The 22,728-nt window shown below is 46.8% G+C and overlaps 1 annotated feature.

Annotated features, from left to right (window-relative positions):
• Positions 409–909: an enhancer, noted in NCBI's record as "H3K4me1 hESC enhancer chr1:31114430-31114930 (GRCh37/hg19 assembly coordinates)". NCBI's record gives its function as "activates a minimal SCP1, AML or CMV promoter by ChIP-STARR-seq in naive H9 embryonic stem cells {active_cell/tissue: H9 hESC(naive)}" and the evidence as "EXISTENCE:reporter gene assay evidence [ECO:0000049][PMID:30033119]".

Raw genomic sequence — 22,728 nt, 5'->3', positions numbered from 1 at the left:
CTGTAGCAGTCCTGGGGGTGACAACAGCAGGAATATCAGTTCATAGGTGCGAGCACTTCCTACGCGTGCTGGGGACCGTGTACTTGCACTCGCTCACTTAATCCTCACAGCTGCCCAAGGAAAGAGCCCTTTTCATCCTCATTTTACATCAGAGGAAACCGAGGCTCAGGAAGGGGAACCCAGGTGGAGTGAGGGCAGGTGGGGCTCCAGGGTGCTCAGATTCCAGCTGCTATGCTCTGACCTACTGCAGGACCCTGGCACAGGCAGTTGCCCAGGTGACCCCTTTCCACCCTGGATCCAGGCCAGTGGCTGGGCCGATTGCTCTCCCAACCCTGTTGTCTGTCCCTCCCTGGGCTCCAGAGCCCTAGACCTGCCTGTGACATGGGGAGATTTGCCACTGTCTCGGTGGCCCTCCTGCCCAGGATGATGAATGGATACATTCTGTGTCAGCAGTGGTGGGGACGCACGACGGTCAAGCTGGTGACACCGTGTCTTGGTTGTGAACTGGCAACTCGCACTTTTTTGTGAAACAGGATACAATTATGTAGAACATAAGCATATGCTAATGAGGGATAATTACATTCCATATTTATAAATTTATCAAAATATGCAAAACCCACTTCCACAATTATACACCCACGGGCACACCACAGTTTAACAGCTGCTTGAGGTCTCTCCCCAGCACCATAATGTGAGCTTGGGCACCAAGTGGGACCCGAAGCCTGCAGCCCAGCTCTGCTGGGGAAGCCTCCGCTGTCACTGCTATTGGCCCCATGCAGAACTGCCGAATTGCTGTCCTTGTCAGCCTTCCTGGCGCTCTTGGATTCCTAGTTTGTGAAGGTTGGGGGGGCAGTGGATTCAGGCAGAGGAAACAGCATGTGTGAGGGCTCTGAAGCAGGAGAGGTGCAGTGACTTGGAGGATCTGAACCAAGCCTGCGTGGAGCAGAGCGCGGGCTCAGGGAAGGAGAGGCTGGCGGGGGCGGGGGGTGGGAGCAGACTGCCAGGCCTCATGGGTGGAGACGAGGACAGATGAGCTGCATTAGGGAGCAGTGGGGAGCAGCTCCCTTCCCCCTGGGGACGGGAGGAATGAAACCCCCACTCCCAGGTTCTGGGCAGAGGCTGAGAACCCAGTACTGGGGACAGGGGAAGAGGGGTGGGGATGACACAGACTCAGTCCTCTTAGGGTGATGGTCTGTCATCAGATGGGGACCCTATCAGAAAAGATTCATTTCCCAGGGGCTCAGCTATTTCTGACTCCCTCAGTATAAACAAATTTAGCAACAGCAGAAATGGACCTATTTGGTATAACCATCACATAAAATAGCTGACAGATAACCATTTTGACATGTAAAGACAGCAATTTCAGTGGATCCAAAGCAATGTTTTTGTCACCAGCAGGGACCAGGTTGCTTCTCCTTTATCAAAATGATACTTTCGGTGAGAAACCTGCCTCATCCTTCCCTCCACTTCCCTTCCTGTCCCTCCCTGGCTGAAATGATCCCTAGCAGAATTTAGAAGAATCAGCCATAGTGACAGTTGCCAAATGTTGACCTGAGATTTGGCTTCATTAGCATCATCTGGGGAGGTTTAAAAAGATGGACTGCCATGTGCCGGCCCCTGAGGCTCAGATCAGCCGGTCTAGGCTAAGCTGCCAGCTGCATCCCCAACAAGCACCCTCCCAGGGGTTCCTCAGATTCTCAACCCTGCCCTGCTCAGAGACACCAACAGCTCCTTATTGCTTGGTGGAAAAATCCAAACTCCCTTATCCCAGCCTGTGGAATCTCCCGGATCAGACCTCACCTCACTCTGCCCCACCATTGCTCCACTTCCCTTTGGGAACCCCTGGCAGGACCGACTGAATGGGATTTGATTAAACAACAGATTTCCCTGCAAAGCCACACTGTAGGTCATTCTCTGTGACACAGGCTGGTGCCGAGACCCCATTTCACAACTGGGAAATGGAGGTGCAGGGCTCACAGCGTGAGGATTTTAACTTCCTCCAAGGCTACAGCTGCCACTGCTCCTGCCTCTTAAGCTTCAGTGCTTTGTTTATCTACTCAGTAAATATTTGTTGAGCATCTACTACACGCTCGGTTCTGTTCTAAACGCTAGGGATGCAAAAGACAGCAAAACAGACATGGCTTCCTAAGGAAGGGGATAGATTTGGTCGGTAAAGAAACAACAAACAAAAACTGAGCTCTCTTTAGATTCAGGCAGCTTATGACTTGAATAGCCAGTAAAAGCAAGGTCAGCAAAGTGACAGCCCCCCATGTCCCATGGCCCACGGGATGACCTGAACACAGAGGGGGCCCGATGACACCGCGACGTGGGCAGTGGGGTGATCTGTTGCTGAGAAGCTGATCCGTGCTGTGGCTAAGCAGTCAACAGCCTGCATCTGCACCCTAAGGCAGCCACTCTCATGTTCCCAGGGTTCACGGGCATTCTGCCAAGACTTGGATCAGTGGCAGTTCAGTCTTGCCTACAGGGTCAATATGGAGAGAATAAGGGAGCTGGGGCCCCATGGCAGGGCCGCTCCTGTACACAGCCTTGTCTCAGGGGCCCTTTTGAATCCATGATTTAAAACTCCCAGGTAATTCCAACGGGAAGCATGCAGTGAGTGCCCTAGTCTACAGTTTGTGTGATTTCCGAGGATTACTTCCAGCCCTGCCACCCTGACCCCCAACACACCCCAATCGTATACTCTTTGTAAAATACAACAGAACATCTATGCCTATTTCATACCCAGTGCTTAGCTGCTAAGCACCACCCACCCATCTTGCCATTTCAGGTTCACCTACTCCATGAGGGGGGCTTAATTTCCCCAGTTTTTAGATGGAGCAAGGCAGTGGTCCCAGAGCTAATCATTGGCAGAACCAAGACTTAGATCCAGGCCTCTCTGGAAGCCTCTCCTATTGGCTCCTCACACCACTCTGGCCTCCTAAGCCCAAGATGCTGACAAGCTGTGTCCAAGGTTCTGCCATGTTCTAAGCATCTCAATAGTGTACCATGCTCACACCTGGCATTCTGCTGTTTTGTGACCCTTACTTTGTGATCTTGACAATTCTACTCTCTTAGTGTCATGCATCTCTCTGTCCGACAACCAAAACTTCTTCTTTCACTGTGTTCAATAGTCTCTAACTCCCACCTTTGGTGAGTGTAATCTCTGTGACTCTGTGACTGCCCCCAGCCTGAGTCTGCCCAGGGCTTCAAGTTACTGCACTGCTCCCCTTTTAAGCTCCCTCCAAACCATTCAAGGCCTCTCCCTTCTCCGGGGCCCACTTCAGACTTTCTGAGTTTATGGCTGTGGCTGTCACCTAATGTTATCAGCCATGACAATGGCAATTAGAACAATTAGGTTGGGTGATAAACTCCTGCTGGATTTGGGACTCATGGTGAGTCAGGGCCTTGCCCGCTGAAGAGCTGCCAGTCACCCCAGCTATGCCTGATAGGCCCTGGTCAGCCCAGATAATGGCATTGGCCTCAATGACAAGGTGACACAGTGACTTCCTCCAGGCTTACGTGGGCAGACAGTGCTATCCCTCTCTGCCCATGGCAGGCCTGGCTTCCAGGCCCCCGGCATGGTGGCCGTTTGTGGTCCAGGCTCCCTCCTCCCTTTTCCAAACCTGGAGCCCTTGCGCTCACCTCTGTGGGGCTTCTGCATTCTCATTCCAGATCCTGACCAGATAAGGGAAAGCTTGATCCCATCAGTGGTCTCCAAGCCCAGGCACAGGTGGAGGGAGGCAGTGTGGCTGCTGGTTAGACCATAGGCCTCGGGTTCCAGCCTGGGTTCTGCCACTATTTTGCTATAAGACCTTGGGTAAGTTAACCTCACTCTCTGAGCTCGGTTCCCTCACGTGTGAGTTGGTAATCACAGCATCTGCCTTATGGGGTGGGGCCAGAATCAGAGAGATCATGCATGTCACGGGCTTAGCAACCACCAGCACATGCTGCAGGGACAAGGGCTGTTCTCCTTCTTATTGCTATTGTGTTGGGGCTGGTGATTTCTCCAGCCCCAAGTGCACCTGGGTGGTCAACTCCTGCACCTTGAGGGTGCTGGCCACACCTGGACCGCTCACCATTTGAGCAGTGAGAACAGAACAGACCCTGGACCCCACATACAGATTCAGCCTCCAGCACTCACTCAATGTGTGACTTAGGCAAGTGGCTGAACCTCTGTGAGCCTCATCAGTTTTTCCACCTGTAAAATGGGCACATAATACTGACCACATAAGGATATTGTGAGGATATGATGAGGGTACCTCGGCTGAAGCCAGATTCCAGAGCTCAAATTGCACTTTCAGGACTCACTTGGGGGTGAAACTTTGGGCAAATTTCCCCACTTCTCCGCCTTGGATTCTCATCTGTAAAGCAGCATAGCTTGCTAGGGCGCTTTCATCCCTCCCAGCCCTGAAGGAGCAGCGGCACTCAGGAGCATCTCAGGATCTCCCTTTCTGCCACCACTGCACTTAGAGATGAAGAAACTGAGGCCAAGGGACACGAAATTAGATATCTGAGAACAAGACGGAATATGATTATGCTACATTATGCAGGGCAGACAATTAGAGAACAAAATGGTCTATAATAAAGGGATAATTGCAGGGGACAAAAGCTAAGTGGACCAGGAGCCCGAGATGAAGGAAAGAAAAATGCAGCCCGGGGTGAGGACGGCCTTGGCCGGGGCCCAGGTGTTCTTGTTAATAACATTGATCTTTCCCCTTGACACAGCCATGCATTCTTACTGTGAAGCATTTGGCAAGTGCAGACATTTATGTAAGAGAGTATATAACTCATCTGGTATCTTGCCTCCCAAAGTACTCGTAGTACTCCCCTATTAATACCTTGTTTTTCATTCCCTTTTCTCTTCTTATACTAGCATCTATTTTCATAATTGCTTTCACATTGGTGTGGCTGTCAGGATAGTCTAGGATATGGCACAAAAACAACCCCCCGAAACAACAAAGGTAATTTCTTGCTCTTACTACATGTCCCCTCTGACTGGCAGGGAGGCATCACAGACAGCAGGGACTGTCACTGATGGAGGCTCCACTGTCTGAGGATGTCAACATCTCCACATGTGCTTCTTCAGTCACTGTGACAGGGAAGGAGGACAGGGGAGCTGAGCGCTGACTCATAGATGCTCCCACCTGGAAGGTACACTCGCTGCCTCTATTCACACTTGATTGGCCAATGCAAGTCTCATGGCCACCCTGACGTGAAGGCCACGGGAGATGCTGTTTCCCTGTGGGCCCAGAAAAAGAAGTGGACACTGGTAGACCCAGCTGTGCCCTCCCATGTGCAGATACGGATCTGAGGCTTTCCTGCCTGACACTCCAGGCTGATGAGTTTCCTATTGCGTTGTATGTTTGTGGAAATTGTCCACGTGATTAATGGTCCTCCTAAACTCCTGCTTTTGAAATTTGAAGTTTCTGTTTTTTTTTTTTTTTTTTTTTTTTTACTGCCATAAATTACACTGCTGTGGCTAGCTTCATTCTTAAATCTTCCTCTAAATTTCTATTTTGTTAGAAAAGATTTCTATAGGGAGATGCTGAGTGAAATAGTACGAAAATTTAAAAACTAATAATACCAAGTATTTATGGAGTGAATAATTCTCAGGTCTTGTTGGCTTGACTTTAATGTAAAGCCAGGGCCGGCTGTGGTGGCTCACACCTGCAGTCCCAACACTTTCGGAGGCCGAGGCAGGAGGATTGCTTGAGTCCAGGAGTTTGAGACCAGCCTAGGCAACATAAGGAGACCTATTTCTACAAACCACCCCTCCCTCCATAAACCAGACCCTATATCTCCTCTCCCTCTCCAGGCTCTCTCCCTGGTTGCCCCGTCATCATACTTGGACTGGTGCAGTAGCATCCTGACAGGTTCCTGCCCCTGTCCCGGCTCCACCCACTCTCCCTGCAGCAGCCCTCATACCTTGGTGAGACTCAGGGTGGAGCTATCTCTGCTCTGCTCTGAAGGCCTGGGGCTCCTGCCTCACTGGGGTGCATCCAAGCTGACAGTGACCCTGGCCTGCAGAGTCCAGCCTCATCCCCCCACAGTCTCCAGCCCTGTCACCCCTTGGCCCACCTGACCTGCCATCCATTCCCCTCCAGCCCCACCAGATCTTTCCTGGACCAGGGCCTTTGCAGTTCCTGCCTCCAGGCTCTGCCCTATGCTTTCCTCAGCTGGAAGCTCTCCCTACATCTGCCACACTCCCTCTTTTCAATGTCACCAGCTCTGAGAAGCCTTAAAGCCAGCATGACCTGGCTCTGCCACCTCCACAGCCTCAGCACCTGACACAGTTCCCCTTTCAGAATGATGCAGTCACACAGGTGTTCTGCAACTCAAACCTCTGAGCCTTTGCCCATGTTGTTCCCTCTGCCTGGAGCATCCTCCATGACATCTCACCTGGTTGACTCCTATGCATCGTTCAGGTCTCCTGTGGGAAGCCCACCTCACCTCCCTCAAGAGTGCAGGTCCCCTGTTAGCCCTCATCTCATGACACCTGGTTCTTCATGCAGTTACTGCTTTAATCTAGCCAGTCCTGTTGACTGGAAACCCATGGGGCACAGCCTGTGTCTTCCTTAGTTACCCATACCTGGCGCTGAGCTCTGTACTTAGTATCCAGCAGGTGCTTAAGCATACTGGGGACCCGGCCTCTTTGGGGATCTGTTGAGGATGCTGGGAGGCAAGAGGTCCCTGTGGGGTGAGGGAGGGAATGACAGGGACAGGGGACAGGACATGGGCCAGTGTGGAACAAACCCTGCATTTGCTGGAGGATGGGAACAACGTCTGGCTGCTCTGCTCACAGCTGCCTGGACAATCAGAATGGAACCAGAGGCCATAGGCCATCTGCAGATGAGCCTGACATGTGTGGTGGAGCTGGACGGGTCACCCAGCAGTCGTGAGTAATTGGGTCACATGCCGTCCTTACCCAGCATGGATCACAGGACATGGTGGGGCTGGTGCATTAGGAAGTGGACTGAACTCATCTTAGTTAAAATAGAATTTGCTTAAATGATTGCTCACATCATTTCCCTGTAATCTCCCTCAGGCTCCGCGGCTGCCTTTCTTCTTCATGATACTTGATCACTTGTTATTCTTCCCTTTGCTTAACGACAAGACAACAGAAAAAGGAAGGAGGGGAGCAGAGGCGACATTGTAGCCCATTTTGTAAAAACCAAAGAAACCATTTTGCAAATTGCAGGAAGTGATGAGAAATTAGAGCAGCATTTATGTCCATTACAGCTGGAGATGGAGAGAAAGGTGGTCTGGGTGGGGGCGGAGGTGGAGAGCCCTCCTTGATCACCATAATGGGGGCAGCATGGGCAGTGGAGAGAGCACTGGACTGGGGCCTCGAGCCTAGAGTTGGGGGTTTTCTGGGTCCACGGCTTTAGTGAGCCCTGTGGCTTCACCCAGAATCCTCCGTATGTGCATGCAGGTGTGCACATATGTGCACAGCACACGCAGACATGTACAGACACACACAGATACACACAGACGCCCATTCACACACAAGGACACAGGCACACATTCACCCCATGTGCACACACACAGACACACACACAGGCACACACAGATTCACACAGACACATGCATGACTCACACACAAACACACAGACACAAGCACACCAGCACACGTTCATTCAATGTATACACACACATGCACACACTCATACATACACATGCACACACAGATTCACAGACACACACAGACACATACACACCACTCACACACACCAATGCACACATAAGCATATGGGTACACATTCATCCCACATGCGTGCACACACACACACACACACACACACACAAACACAGGCACACACAGATTCACACGGAGACATACAGACACACAGACACAAACACGACTCACACACAAACATTCATACAGACACAAGCACACCGGCACACATTCACCCCATGTGCATGCACACACACACACATAGAGGCACACACAGATTCACACAGACACATACATACATACCCCTCATACACACCAATGCACACATAAGCACATAGGCACACATCTCACATGCACACACACACACACACATTTGCACTCACAGATTCATACAGACACATATAGACACAGAGACACATGAGTCAAACACAAACATACAGGCACACACAGACACATACAGACACAGAGATGCACACCACTCACACACACCCATGTGCACACAAGCACGCAGGCACACATTCATCCCGTGTGCACACACATATGCATGCACACCCCACACAATCCACTCCGTTTCTCCTCTTAGATTCCCCTCTAGTGACCTACTTTGTTTGCGCCCACTGCCATGACCCTGTGTGACCCCTCTCAGTTCTCACCTGAAGCCCTGCTATACCCTCCTTGTCTTCACTGAGGGGCCGATACATGGCATTTCTCCTTCCCACCCAAGTTTGGAACAAATGGAAACAAAGACACAGGAGTCAGGCAGATTAAAAAAAATTCCCTTCATTACTGGTGAAGCTGCTTGGAGGACACAGCACAGAGGAAGCGTGATGGTGAGTTGGTAACGGTCTCAAGTATTGAACGGTTTCTCCCCAGACAGCAGCCCTCCCTGCCAGGGACTCGGCCTGCACACTAAGCTTACCATGAGGCTGAAGGTGGTGAGAAGGCCCTTGTCTGGGTAAGGAGCCAAGGGAGGCCACAGTGAGCTCACAGGAGCCCGCAGAAAGGCTGTCACCATCATTCCCCAAAGGAGGTGGTGTAGGGTAGTGGTTGAGAACACCGGCTCTGGCATCGATAAACCCTGGTTCAAGTCCAACCTCTGCCATTTACTAGCTCTTGGACTGTAAGCTAATTAATAAATCTCTCTAAACCTCATAATCAGCGTCTGTAAAATGGGGATAATGAGGCGTATCTTGTGGGTTTGTTGAGAAGATTAAGCTAGTTAACACAAGCAAAGTGCTTAGATTAGTGACTGGCTTATAATACACAGCTCTCAAAACTTATTCAGTCTAACATGAGTCAGCTCCACTGTCCTTTTATTTTTTTCTGAACAGAACAAGCTTGTGCCTGCCTCGGGCCCTTTGCACTTGCTGTTCTTTCTTTTGGGAGTGCTCTGTCTTAGATCTTAGCATGAGTGCGCCTCTTCATCATTAGGTTTCAGCCCAAATGCTACCTGTTCCAGGTGGCCTTCCCTGGTTCCCCCAGGTCAAAGCATCTGCTCCCCAACACCTGAGTTGTTATCACATTGTCTGTTTAATTTTCTTCAAGCACTTTGCACCCTCTGAAATTGTCTTGTTTATTTACTGATTTCCTTCTTTATTTTTTGTGTTCCTTTTGTCCATCTTATTTCCCTTGGAGGTCAACCCTGCACCTTGCACAGGGCCTGGAACATATTAGCTGCTTAACTTTTACTGGTTGAATGAATGAATGAAAGAATGAATGGATTCTACACTGATACCTGATTCTACTCCCTGAATTTCACTTCTTGAAGGTTTTTTGTTCAGGGGCTTGGGGCACCTGCTGGCTCCTGGGATTCTGATGTCATTTAATCCCCATGGAGCCAGAGAAGAACAGAGCCTACAGGGAATGGCTTCTTCCTGTTACAGAAGCATGAGCTGAGGCTCAGTTCAGGGAACAGAAAATCCAACATGCACTAGCTTAAACTATAAAGCCTAGAATTGGATTGGGTCTCAGACAAGGACTGATCTAGAAACCCGATTGTGTGACCAAGGACTCAGCATTTTTTCAGTGATCTGCTCTCCCTCCCAGAGTATCAACTTCATCTTCAGTCTGTCTTCTCTTGTGGTTGCAGCATCAACTTGGGTGATGTATTTCCTCCTTCCCATTTAGCAGAACGCGTCGTGTCTCCCAACCAGAATGGAGAAGTCCTGGGCTTTGCTCTGACTGGCTCATATTAAGTAACGTATCTTCCTATGAACTCATCCGTGGTTATTGACCTGGTGTCTGACATGGCTCAGCTCAATCACGGACATGGCTAAGGAAGTCAGGAAACCAGAGTCAGAGATGGGGTCAAGGCTGCCCCCCAAAGGGAGAGGCAAAGGGAGTGGGGGTGTGTGTGCATCCGTGGCCCTGGGATGCTCCCTGCCTCAACCCTGTGGAGGGAGATGGTGACAGTGGAGTTGACCAGACTGGAGACCATGAGATCTACAAATCCAGTCTGGTGCCACCACCCTCACTTTCCCGGGAGATGAGCATGGATTCTGCCTCCAGCGCTGACCAGCCCCCTACCCCAAGCCCTCGCCCTGCCCTCCCCACAGATGCCCTGAAGCTGACAGGCATAGACACTGCCCTCTCTGGCTCCTTGGCCAACATGGATCACTCCAGATCCCTGCAGTTCTGTGCTCTGGCTGAAAATGCACTTGGGCTGCTATGTTCATTACAAACTCAGGGCTTTTGGGGCTGGGGGTGCTGCAGAGACTGTGTATATGGAGAAACTGAGGCCTGAGAGCAGGTGCTTGGTCTCATTCTATGGAGCTGGGCCCAGGGTCCTTGTTCTTAGACCTGGTCTTTGTACTGCACCACAGAGTCACTCCCTTGCATTAACTCCCCACAACTGGAGACCCACCCCTTCCTCTCCCTAAGCCTCCTCCTAGTCTCCTTCACCCTCAGACCTGGCAGCTGGCCAACTTCTTCCACCCTGCCTGCACCATCCTTGGCATCTTCTCCTATCCCCACCTTGAGGTTCAGTCATGCCTAGCTCTAGAAAGTTGGTGGTGATCATGCATAATGTTTACTGAGAACATGGACCGCTCCGGGTGCTGAGATGAGTACTTGTATTGTCTCATTCATTCATTCAATGTATTTGTGATGTTTTCCATGTGCCACATGCCGTTCCAGGTGCTTGAGAGAGAATCATGACCAGAAACTCAGTTCTTGGCTTGATGTAGCTTCCAGTTTAACTGGAGAAAATAGATATCAGCCAAATAACAAAGGGATAAAATTAAAAAAATTTCCAGCTTCCAGTTCCAGGCCTCAGAGAGGATTCTAAGCTGAGCTGTGATGTGATTTATGGTCCCATTAGAAAATCATCATTGATTTATTCTCCTTTCTTTCTCTGTTCATTGGGTACTCACTGTTCCATCTTATGGTCAAGACCCCGGGCCAGAAAACAAAGGAGGGTTTATTGAGCATCTATTGCATGCCAGACACTGTTACCTCATTTTGTCTCTGCAGTGATGCTGCCAGGTAGACCTGACTATCCCCACCTTGCAGGCAAGGAAACTGAGGCTCGTGGCTCAGGGCTGAGATCACACAGCACCTGCTCTGGTTTCTTGGTAATTCAGTGAGGATCTAAGAGACAGTCTAAGAGACAGTGGCATCTTCTATCTCTGTCTCCCCAGTCTGTTCTCATGCTGCTAATAAAGATGACATACCTGAGACTGGGTAATTTATAAAGGGAAGAGGTTTATATGGACTCACAGTTCCACATGCCTGAGGAGGCCTCATAGTCATGGTGGAAGGCGAAGGGGAAGCAAGACACATTTTACATGGCAGCAGGCAAGAGAGAGCTTGTGCAGGGGAACTCCCCTTTATAAAATTTTCAGATCTTATGAGTCTTATTCACTGCTATGAGAACAGTATGGCAGAAACCGTCCCCCCATGATTGAATTATCTCCACCTGGCCCCACCCTTGGCACGTGGAGATTATTACAATTCAAAGTGAGATTTGGGTGTGGTCACAGCCAAACCACATCAGGCTTCCACTCTGCTCAGGAGGCTGTATTGTTGTTACTATTATAATGGCCACTACAGCTACAAAAGCAGTCACAGGTACCCTTCCTTCCAAAACCCACCATGAGACTGTGAAGGTGCAAAGCGCTTTACTTAGATGGTGCCATTTCATCCGTAAAACACATCGGCAAGGCAGGTACTGGCCTCATTTCACACACAAGGTTGTGGCTCTGTGGGGATAAGGGACTGGCCCAAGAGCACTGGCGAGTCAGGGCAGGACTTGCACTCAGGTCTTTTAGGTCCTCAACCAAGATGGTGTGCCACCTATTCAAAGAGGAGGGGTGGCCATTTCTTCACCATCAGAAGAGATGCCAAGAAGAAGGAGAGGATTGAAACAGATGCACAAACCTGAGATGAGAGATCATGAGCCCCCGAGAGAAGGGTGGGCAGAGCAGCTGTGGTTGTCCCAGTGGGGAGTTTCAACTCCTTGTTCCAGGCCTGTGTTAGGTGTCTGAGTTCTCAGAGATACCTTTGGAGCCTGGTCCCCCACCCCTCTCCAAGTTTTCTTTGTTTAAATTACATCATTGAGTGTTTTTTTCCTGTTATTTGCAAAGAGCCTTAGACACAGATGTCAAAGAAATCTACTTATTAAAAAAACAAAACAACAACAACAAACTGCTAAAAAAAAAAAGTAAAAATCTCAATAATGAGTGTCTCTTACTCAGAGAGCCCTCATCAAATAAGAGGAACGAGGATTTTGCAAACCTATATGGAAATTAAACCTGCAATCTGGGCACACAGTTGTTTGACAAGTGATAATTAACTGCTGACAATATAATTTCAGTTTAGATTCAAATCTGTTTTTCATTAAAAAGTAATCAAAGAGATGCTTGCATCTGGAAGTCCAGCCTCCAGCAGTGGGAGCTCAGCTCCTCTGCTGAAAGGCTTTAGGGCTAGCATTGAGTACCCACTGTTCTTGGCCAGATGGGGCACGGACTCCAAAAGTGATGCTGGAAACAGGTCCCCAGTGAAGCTTGCAAAAGGCAGCTCAGTCAACCTCTTTCTCACTAAGGGTCCCATATCCTCCTCTGGGCATCTCTGACCCGACATGTTGACCCTGCCAGTTGGCTTGGTGCTGATTCCAGCTCTGACCCTAACAGTTGGCTTGGCGCTGACCCCAGTTCTGACCCCCACAATTGGCTTTGTGCTGACCCTTGCTTCAGGGAGGTATGGAACACTCTCATCTCTGCAGTCCCTACCACACCTGTGGTCCTGCGGATGTCATATTCTATCTCTCCGTTTCTGAGGCTCAGAAACCAGTCACTTTTTCAAGGCCACACAGCTGGTGAGGGGCTAGACAGACACCTGAACTCCTCCTGCCTGACTCCCACATCTGTGCCACACACCCTGCCCTCCTCCCTTTCCTCTAGTCAACTCAGCTTCTCTGTGCCTCAGTTCCTCTTCTGTAAAATGAGGATAATAATGACATTTACATCATGAACTTGTCATATGGAATAAACAAGCTCATATACAGAACAGTGCCTGGCACATAGAAATTCCTCCATAGATGTCAGCTATGATACTTATTAGTAATTAATTCAGATGATAAATAAAATCATTGCTCCCTCTTGTGAGGCCAGCTGATTCCACCCCTGCAATCACCCAAGTCCTGCTTGGGACTCTGTCCAGATCTCCGGCATCCATCTGAATGGAAGAGCCACATGGAATCCTGTGTTCTCAGGAGCAGGAAGGGTTCTTCTGCCATACACAGAGCGAGGGTTTGCTCCCTGGCTGAGGGCGGACCCCTCTGAGTGCAGATACCTCAGTTTCTTGGTAGCTGTTGTCCCAGAAGCTCCGTTTTTCTTATCCAAACTCAGCGTGTGGCCAACTATGACCCGTGGGATCACTTTTCTCTATTTATTTATCCCTTAAACTCTTCCTAGATGTCCATGGAATTTATACCTCCTCTCATCTTGCCCCTGCCCCACCAGCTACACAGAATGCCTCAATGCTCCTGGAACATTCCACACTCTTTGGCATCCCCAGCCTTTGCACATACTGTGTTCCTTGCCTGGAATGTGTTTCCCTACACTTCCCACCTGGTTAAGTTTGATGCTTTAAGGCCCAACTCAAACATCACCTTTTTGATCACACCTTGACCTGCCTCTGAGCACAAAGCAGGGGCTCCTTATGCACTTATTGAGCCCCCCCCCCGCCTCATGTGCCCGTAGATATATCTGGACCTGAGTGATCCCAGCTGATCCTCACAGCAACTCTGGAAGGCGATCTGCATTATCCCCACTTTACGGATGAAGAAACTGAGGCTCAGAGAGGAAAAAGGACTTGCTCAAAGTTACATATCTCATCAATGCCAGAGCCTGGGCTATTGACATGGCCCAAGCTGCCTCATTTCTTTGGCTTGTAGGAATCCTTTTAGTTCCACTCCTAAAGGCAGCAGGATTTGGTGCCCCATAAGTTCACATTCACATTTGTCACTGATCCAGGCCTCAGACACAAAAGTTTATGTCCCTGCTCACACAATCCTTGTCTATTCCCAAGGGTGGTAATCAGCACATGTGCTAGACTTCACATCTGTGTCCACACCCCAGCCCCGTGCACTGAGCCCAGACTCATATACCCAGCTTCCTCCTGGATACCGGCCCTGGGTGACCCCTGGGACCCTCAGACTCTGAGCCAGATGTGCCTAGGGTGGGTAGGGCAAGAGCTGGTGGGGCAGGAGCTAGCTCCAACCTAGAGACCAGGTTCTGACTTCTGCTCCTGAAAATGTTCCCTGCATAAGCTCTAGAAATGTTTTATCAAATGTAGAAAAATGGAAAGGGAGATCTCAGGGGATGGAGAGGAACTGACAGCAGAGTAGGAAGTGAGTGTGGGAACTGGGGTAGCAGCTGCCATGCTGCAGGCTGTGTTAGCAAGGTTAACACTCTTGAAACCATCCTTATAATCTTTATAACATTAATCAGGGAAGACGAGAGGGAAAGAAAGAAAAATAAACTGAGCCTGCAGCACGTTCAGCCTTAACCTGCTAGGTCAGCTGCCCTCTGACCTGCTTCCTTGAAGTTGTTTGCTGCTTGGTGCCTCAGAATCACATGGACCCTGTTACAAGATGATAGTTCCCCTGCACTGTTCTGTAGATAACAAATTGAACATTAGGAAATGTTACATATTCCTTTTGAGATATTCTTTCAGATCCTATATACTAATGAAACACTGGTGCTAGCTGGTCTGAAGGAAGCTGACTCCCCAAAGAATGCAGTTTCCATGTCCTGATGATCTCATCCCCCTTACCTTGATCAATCAATGACCCCAATTTTCCAGCCCCTCACCCTCCATGGTCCTCTCAAAAACCTCAGCCTGTAACTTTTTGCGGAGATGGATTTGAGAGTCTCCTCCCATTTTCTCACTGAGTACCCTGTGATCATTACACTCTTTCTCTGCTGCATCCCTGCTGTCTCAGTGCATTGGTCTGTTACTGAGCAGTGGGCATATGAATCTGTTGATCCCATAACACTCTTGGTCCCCTGCTAAGGGTTTGGGCTTAATGTCTTCCAGGGACAGGAGATGATGTCTTGAGTACAATGCAAGGAGTTGTATAAAGCTGGGAGCATTAAAGGGCTGAACCTCAGTGATAGAGTATACCAGAAAAATAGTTTATTCCCAAGATCTGGGAAACAAAAGGGGAGCTTGTCAGTTTCTGCTTGGCCTATGAGAGGACAGAGAACCTCCTTGGGTTATAGTGACTACAGGGTTTACTTGTGGCTTTAATTTATATTACAGATTTTTTTTTTTGACAGTGTCTTGTTCTGTCACCCAGGCTGGAGTTGCAATGGCGTGATCTCCTCTCACCACAACCTCCTCCTCCTGGGTTCAAGAGATTCTCCTGCTTCAGCATCCCGAGTAGCTGGGATTATAGGTATGTGCCACCACACCTAGCTAATTTTTTGTATTTTCAGTAGAGACGGGGTTTCACCATGTTGGCCAGGCTGGTCTCAAACTCCCGACCTTGTGATCTGCCTGCCTCCCAAAGTGCTGGGATTACAGGTGTGTGCCACCGTGCCCAGCCTACAGAGTTTTTTTTGTAAACTCCCAAACTAGGCAATTTACCTATAATTGGTTATAGGCTGGTGAAACTTCTGAGGCATCTGGTAGAAGCCAGTCTAGAGCAGATCAGGAAGCGCAGTCTGCACTGGGTTCTCACAGATACAGCCCTACTGAAGATGAACTCAAAATCCCAAATTTCAAAACAAATGAGAAAACTATTTACAATGAATGAGAGTTAATAGCTATGAAAATAAGGAAGATAAAAACCCCCAAAAGCAAGGCACAGTGGCTCACGCCTGTAATCCCAGCACTTTGGGAGGCTGAGGCAGGCAGATCACTTGAGGCCAGGAGTTTGAGACCAGCCTGGCCAACATGGTGAAACCCTGTCTGTACTAAAAATACAAAAATTAGCTGGGTGTGGTGGTGAATGCCTGTAATTCCAGGTATTCGGGAGGCTGAGGCCTGAGAATTGCTTGAACCCAGGAGGTGGAGGTTGCAGTGAGCCAAGATCATGCCACTGCACTCCAGCCTGGGTGACAGAGTGAGAGTCTGCCTTAAAAAAGAGAAAACACCAAAAACCAAATAACTTCAAGTAATAGAAAAATTCTGATAGAAACTATTTTATATATATATATATATATATATATACACACACACACACACACACACACAAACACATATATATAGTGATTAAAAGCATAAAAATAAAAATCACAGGAATAGAATAAGACACTATAAGAAAGAATAAGCACATTAGAAAAAATAGAAAGTCTAAAAATAAAATTTATAATTATTGCAATTAAAAAATAATCCTAAAGGGCAGACTAAATAGTAGATTAGGTAGAACTGGTGAAATAATCAGTTACCAGGATATAGACAATAGGAAATTATCCAGAAAGGAATAGAGAAGGAAAATGTGGAGAAGTTCAAAGACCTGAAGGAGACAATGAGAAGCTTCAACAAACCTTTATTAAATTTTACAGAATACATGAAAAACCTGAATTCATAATTTCCAAAGGAATCTGAGCAGGTGCAATACAAATAAATTCAGATCTGACATGTGAAGAGATTGGAAATTGTCATTCCCATTCTCACAAGAAGAAGCTGGACAAGCTGAAAATCCACAACTTTTCTTGGCTTCCTCAGAGAGCTGAGGTTGCAGAGCAAACCATCACACTAAAATATGAGAGAAAGGTGAATTCAGAGAGGCACAGCTGAGATCTCCCTGCTTGAAGCAGAAGCTGCTGGGGCCATAAAGTGATAGGAACACATAAATGGCAATTTTGACAAATTGCTGGAGGCTGAGTGTGAATTAATGTGAGGATGGAGAAACACCTTGGGTGTCACAGTCTCTGGGGTGCCAAAATTTTGCAAGAAATATTAAAATATTTTCTTTAGGCATGAATAAAATGATATGGTCAGAAACTTAGATCTATATGAAGAAAGGAAGAGTGTTGGAGAAAAAATAAATGAAGATAAAAGTAATTATTTTTCTTATTCTTAATCTAGAACTGTTTGTTTAAATGGTTCAAAGTAATAATAGTAACTATATATTCAGTGAGTATAACATGGGTAAATAAAATGAATGACATCATTGTCACAAGGAATGGGAGAGAAGGATTGAGAATACTCTAAGACAGGTGTACTATATGTAAAGTGGAATAGTGTTATTTGGAGGTGGACCCAGATTAGTTAAAAGTATATATTATGAACTTGAGGGAAGCTACTAATCTTTCTTTTAGAAAGAAGTAATTGATACACTGAGTGAGGATCAAATGGAGTAATATGAAATGCTCAGTTAAAACTAGAGAAGGCAGAAAAGGAAGCCTCTGGTAATAAATATAAACAGCTACAAACATGGTTGATATGAAGTCAAATATATCAATAATCACTTTAAATGAGATTAGTTTAATACATCAATTAAAAGACAGAGATTGTCATAGTGGATAGTGGATAAGAAAGCAAAGACTAACCTACATGTTTTCTGTAAGAAACCCACTTTAAATGTAAAGACTCTGACAGTTAAAAGTAAAGGTATGGATAAAAATATATAATGTTAACACTAGTCAAAAGAAAGCTGGAATACTATGATGATTTCAGACAAAGAAGACTTCATAATGTTTCACTGTCAATCAACTTGATCTAATTGACATTGATAGAACACATCCTTCAATATCAGCAAAATACACATTCTTCTCAAACTCACAAGGAATATTCATCAAGACAGAACACATTTTGGGCCACAAAACATGCTTTAATGAACGTTTTATAAAAGAAAATCGTACAAAGTATATTCTTAGACTACAATGGAATTAAACTAGAAATTAATAACTGAAAGCTGAAAAATTCCCTAATATTTGGAAACTAAACAATACATTTCTAGATAGTACATGGGCCAAAGAAGGAGTCTTAAGAGAAATTTAAAAATATTTTGAACTAAATGAAAATGAAAATACAACTTAAAAAATTTTTCAGGATGCAAAGAAAGTGGTGCTTAGGGTCAAATTTACAACATTACACACCTATATTAGGAAAGAAGAAAAATCTAAAATCAATAAACTAAGCTTCCACTTTAGAAAACTAGAAAATGAAAAGAAATATTCTATGACCCAGCAAATTCTATCCCATCCCAGGACATATGAGTTCTACTTGTAAATGTGCAAGACATGTACAATCATGTTCATAGCATCGTTATTTATTATAGCCCCAAACTGGAAGTTAACCAAATGTTGATTAACAACAGGATGGATAAATAAATACAATATGTTCATAGGATATTAAACAATGAGAATGAACAAACCAAAACTATATATCATGTATGTGGATATCACAAGTATAATATTGAGAGAAAGAAACCAGACATAAAAGAGTATAGAGTACATTATTCTATTTTTTTAAAGTTCAAAAACAAGCTAACCTAAGCTATCCTGTTAAGTCAGGACAACAGTTACCCTTGGCGGAGGTATAGCTACTGAGAGGGGTTACAAATGGGCTTGCTGGTAATGCTTTATGTTCACTTTGTGAAAATGTATCCAGCTGAATACTTATGATTTGGGCATTTTTTGGTATGTATGTTATGCATCATTCAAAAGTTTGGGTTATAAAAGGCAACCAGAGAAAGACCTGATTACCTCCTAAAGAAAGACAGTGAGACTGACAACAGACTTCCCAGCAGCAACAATAGAGACCAGAGAACAATGGAGTAATATTTTCAGGGCCAAGAGAAATGCAGTAGAATTCAAAAGTAGAATTCTAGGGTCAGCTAAACTATTATTTAAAATTGAGGGAGAAAGAAAGATATTTTCAGACAAAGTCTGAGTGATGTTATCACTCACAGGATTTGCTGAGAAAACAGACGCATGACGTACTCCAGGGAGAACACTGCTGGGAGAGGAAAGGAGTGGATCACAGATGACACACTGAGCAGGGATCGGTGCACTTGCATTGATTACATCACACAGGAGCAATAACAACAACAATAGCAATGTAACTAATTTGGGGCACAAAGGAGGGAGCAACCACAACACTAAGATGGGAGAGGGGTGAGAATCAATGTGTTCTGAGATCTGGGTATTGTTCAGAGGAAGTGGAGCTAGATTGATTTGCTTTACACAGTGTTAAGTCAAGTGTGCTTATTAAAATATAAAGGTTAACCAAGAAGGAAGAGAAATAGAATGTACCACTTACAAATCAATAGAGGATAAAAAGAAATAAAAACTTGATCAATACAGTATATGGCAGGAAATGAGCCAAAAAGAAAAGAAAAGGCAGCAGAAGAAATCCCGAGAAGTTCAAAGTAGTTCAAAGAAGTTCAAATAGGAAGGAAGGAGCCTGGCTCTGGCATTCATATCTGTGTTTGACTTTGGGCAAAAGACTTAATGATGTCACTGCTTTCAGCCTCAGTTTTTCATCTGGACAATGGGAGGATGACATTCTCTTGTAGCTATTGTGGGGACATTGTAGACTCTGCCTGTCCAGTCCTCAGTGCTGGGGATACTGCAATGCTGGGGATACTGCAAGTGGCTGCCCTTCACCCCTTTGCTCTCAGGTTCTTGTGTAAAGAAATGAATTTTATGTTTATCACAGTGTGGATGTCTTCATTTTTCTTTTCTTCTTGGAGATAAAGCTCTCTGCAGTCAAGCTTTATTTTCTCAGACGAATAAGAGATTATCTAATGGGCTCATGCAGTCCACTGGAAATTTCCAAAGGGACAAAGAGGCAAGAAGTGTCTCTCCCAAGACAATCCTTGCTTTATCTTTACTCTTCACTTAGTAACAGCAGTGGCCATGTTTTAATTGTTTCCCGTGTCCCAGGTGCTGTGCTGTCTTACCCATGTTCTTTCATTTGAACTTACCTCATAACCCTGCGAGAGAGGAGTCGTCATTCACTTTAGCAAGGAGGCAATGAAGGTTAGGAAGGTGAAGTGAAACCTGCCCAAGGACATGGCTCAGCTGAGACTCAAATACAGGTCTGCCTGACTCTAAGCCCCTGGTTCTTCTGCTCCTTACATTCTCAGAAACCTTTTAGTCATTTAATTATTGAAGAATTGTCCCTAATCAGGAACCAGCCCCCAAGGCTGGACTTGCTACAGCAGAGCAGATGGCATGGGGGAATCCAAGTCAGAATGGCCCTCTGGACAGAGCCCATGCGGATGACCGGCTGGGGACAGTCTCTGCATCTCTGCACTTAATGCCATCAGCTAAGGTGGGGTGACCTGGAACTGATCTCCCCCGGAAGTTCTTTAGGCAAGAAGCCCCAAGGTAGCTCATGGCCACACTCCCCTGGGGCTACTAAGGGGCCACCTCTAGATCTCTGACATGGAATAAAGTCCATGTCCCCGGACATGGAATAAAGAATTAACCAGTGCTCAGTGGAGGGGTTACCTGGCTCTGCAGAGCTGACCGTGCATGTTCTGCTTCAGAAACCCACCCACTCCCTGTGTTTGTAGGATGAGATGAGACCACACTCCTCAGCATGGGCATCAAGGTTGCTGTGACTGGGCTAGACTCCCTCTTCTGCCTCATCGTCCTCTCCCCTTCACACACACACACCACACACCACATGCCACACATAACACACACACCACACACAGACGCACACACAGACACACACACACTACTGGGTGTCTCAGAAAATGCTGGGCCATTTTCTTTTTCTTTTTTTTTTTTGAGACAGAGTCTGTCTCTGTCACCCAGGCTGGAGTGCAGTGGGGGTTCCCAAGCCCCCCTACTTGTTTCCATGCTTCCCAGGCCCACCCAATGTTACAGGCAGCACATGGCAGCAGGAGGGATCAAGACAGGTAGACACTGGGGGAGTCAAGGGAACAAGGGATGGCTGGAGGAGTGACAAGTGACTCAAGGACATGTGGTGAGAGGCACCTGTTCATCAAACCACAGTTCTTTTGAAAGGGACTCAGGGCAGCTCCTAAAACATACACTGTACACTAAGATCATTCATTAATTCCCTGGGCCAGTGCTTACTGAGCACCTACTACATGCCAGGCCCCGTGCTGCTGCTGAGATGCACTGAGGGGTCTCCATCCTTAGTCTGGGGAGGCGGCACATGTCAAAAGAAGACTCTGTTGCTCTCCCTGGGGTGGGTGGGGGATTGCTGTGGGAGCTCAGGGGAACCATCCTCAGTTTCATAGGGAATGGAGCTGAGACCCAAACAGGTGAACGACTTGTGTGATGTTTCATGGCAGGGGATGGGGCCTGCAACCCAGAACTTCTGAGCCCCCAGACCCTAGTCTCATGCCTCCTTACTGGACCCCATGCCGGGTCTCACAAGGTGGTCACTGCAACAGCTTCAACCCCAGCCATCATTCCCAGGCCACACAGCCAACCTCCCTGCCACGATAGTAATTACACCTCTTGGAGGTTAATTTGTAAAGAGACAGTGGAAGTCCTTATTTTAATAGCAATTATCAAAATCATGCTGGAGGGGTGCTGTGTAATGGGTAATTATCTGCAACAGAACAACAGTATCGTCAATTCTATTGAGCTCTTTCCAACGAACCTAGAGTTAATCCTGGAAAGCAGCTAGCGTCAGCTGATATTTGTTTAATAATATTCTTATTAAATTCAAATGGAAGTCCCTTTAAAAATCTTCCCCAAGAGGAATGTGGCTAGTTTACCAAGACCTCAACTCCACGGTGTCCCACTGAATTCCCATGGAGTTTGTCAGCATCCCTCCCTGTACCACATCACCCCCTCATATCAAGGCTGGACCACCTTCACCATTTGTATCCATTTATGTATTGGTTCAGTTACTCATTTGCTGGTTAATCCTTGTACATTTACTTCATTCATTCACTCATTTATTCATTCACTATTCATTATTCATCTCTTGCATCGGTTTCAAAATCTATTTAAAAATTCTTTCTCATGTTGGGCGTGGTGACTCTTGCCTATAGTCCCAGCACTTTGGGAGGCCAAGGCAGGAGGATTGCCTTGAGCCCAGGAGTTTGAGACCAGTTTGGGCAACATGGTGAGACCCCATGTCTACAAAAAATACAGAAATTAGATGGGCATGGTGGTGTGTGCCGCTAGTCCCAGCTACTCAGGAGGCTAAGGTGAGAGGAGAACTTGAGCCCAGGAGGTTGAGTCTGCAGTGAGCTGAGATGGTGTCACTGCTCTCCAGCCTGCACAACAGAGCAAGACCTTGTCTCAAAAAATTACTTCTCACACTCATTCACGTGTGACTATATCCTTTCTTCCATCATTAGTGCCCCCATTTCTTCTTTCATTTATTTGTACTTTGTTCAGATATTGTTTTCTTAGATTTTAATATAAGTGGTATTCTACCTCTCATTTACTTCTTTTTATTTATTCATTCTTTCTTTAATTGGCTCATCCATTCATTCGTTCACTTACTAATATGCTTTTTCATGCATGACTTCATTCATTCATTGCTCTTTTATTCATGCATGGGTTTGTCCATTTATTCATCAAACATGTATTGTTCGCTCATAAACTATGGCCGTTTTGTGTCTGGTCTGAAGTGATCCAGCCTTGTTCAGCTCTCCA

Source organism: Homo sapiens, chromosome 1, assembly GCF_000001405.40.
Source record: "Homo sapiens chromosome 1, GRCh38.p14 Primary Assembly".
In the NCBI taxonomy this organism is placed as follows: domain Eukaryota; kingdom Metazoa; phylum Chordata; class Mammalia; order Primates; family Hominidae; genus Homo; species Homo sapiens.
The sequence above is the reverse complement of the archived record's forward strand: the minus strand, read 5'-3'. Positions and strand labels throughout refer to the sequence as shown.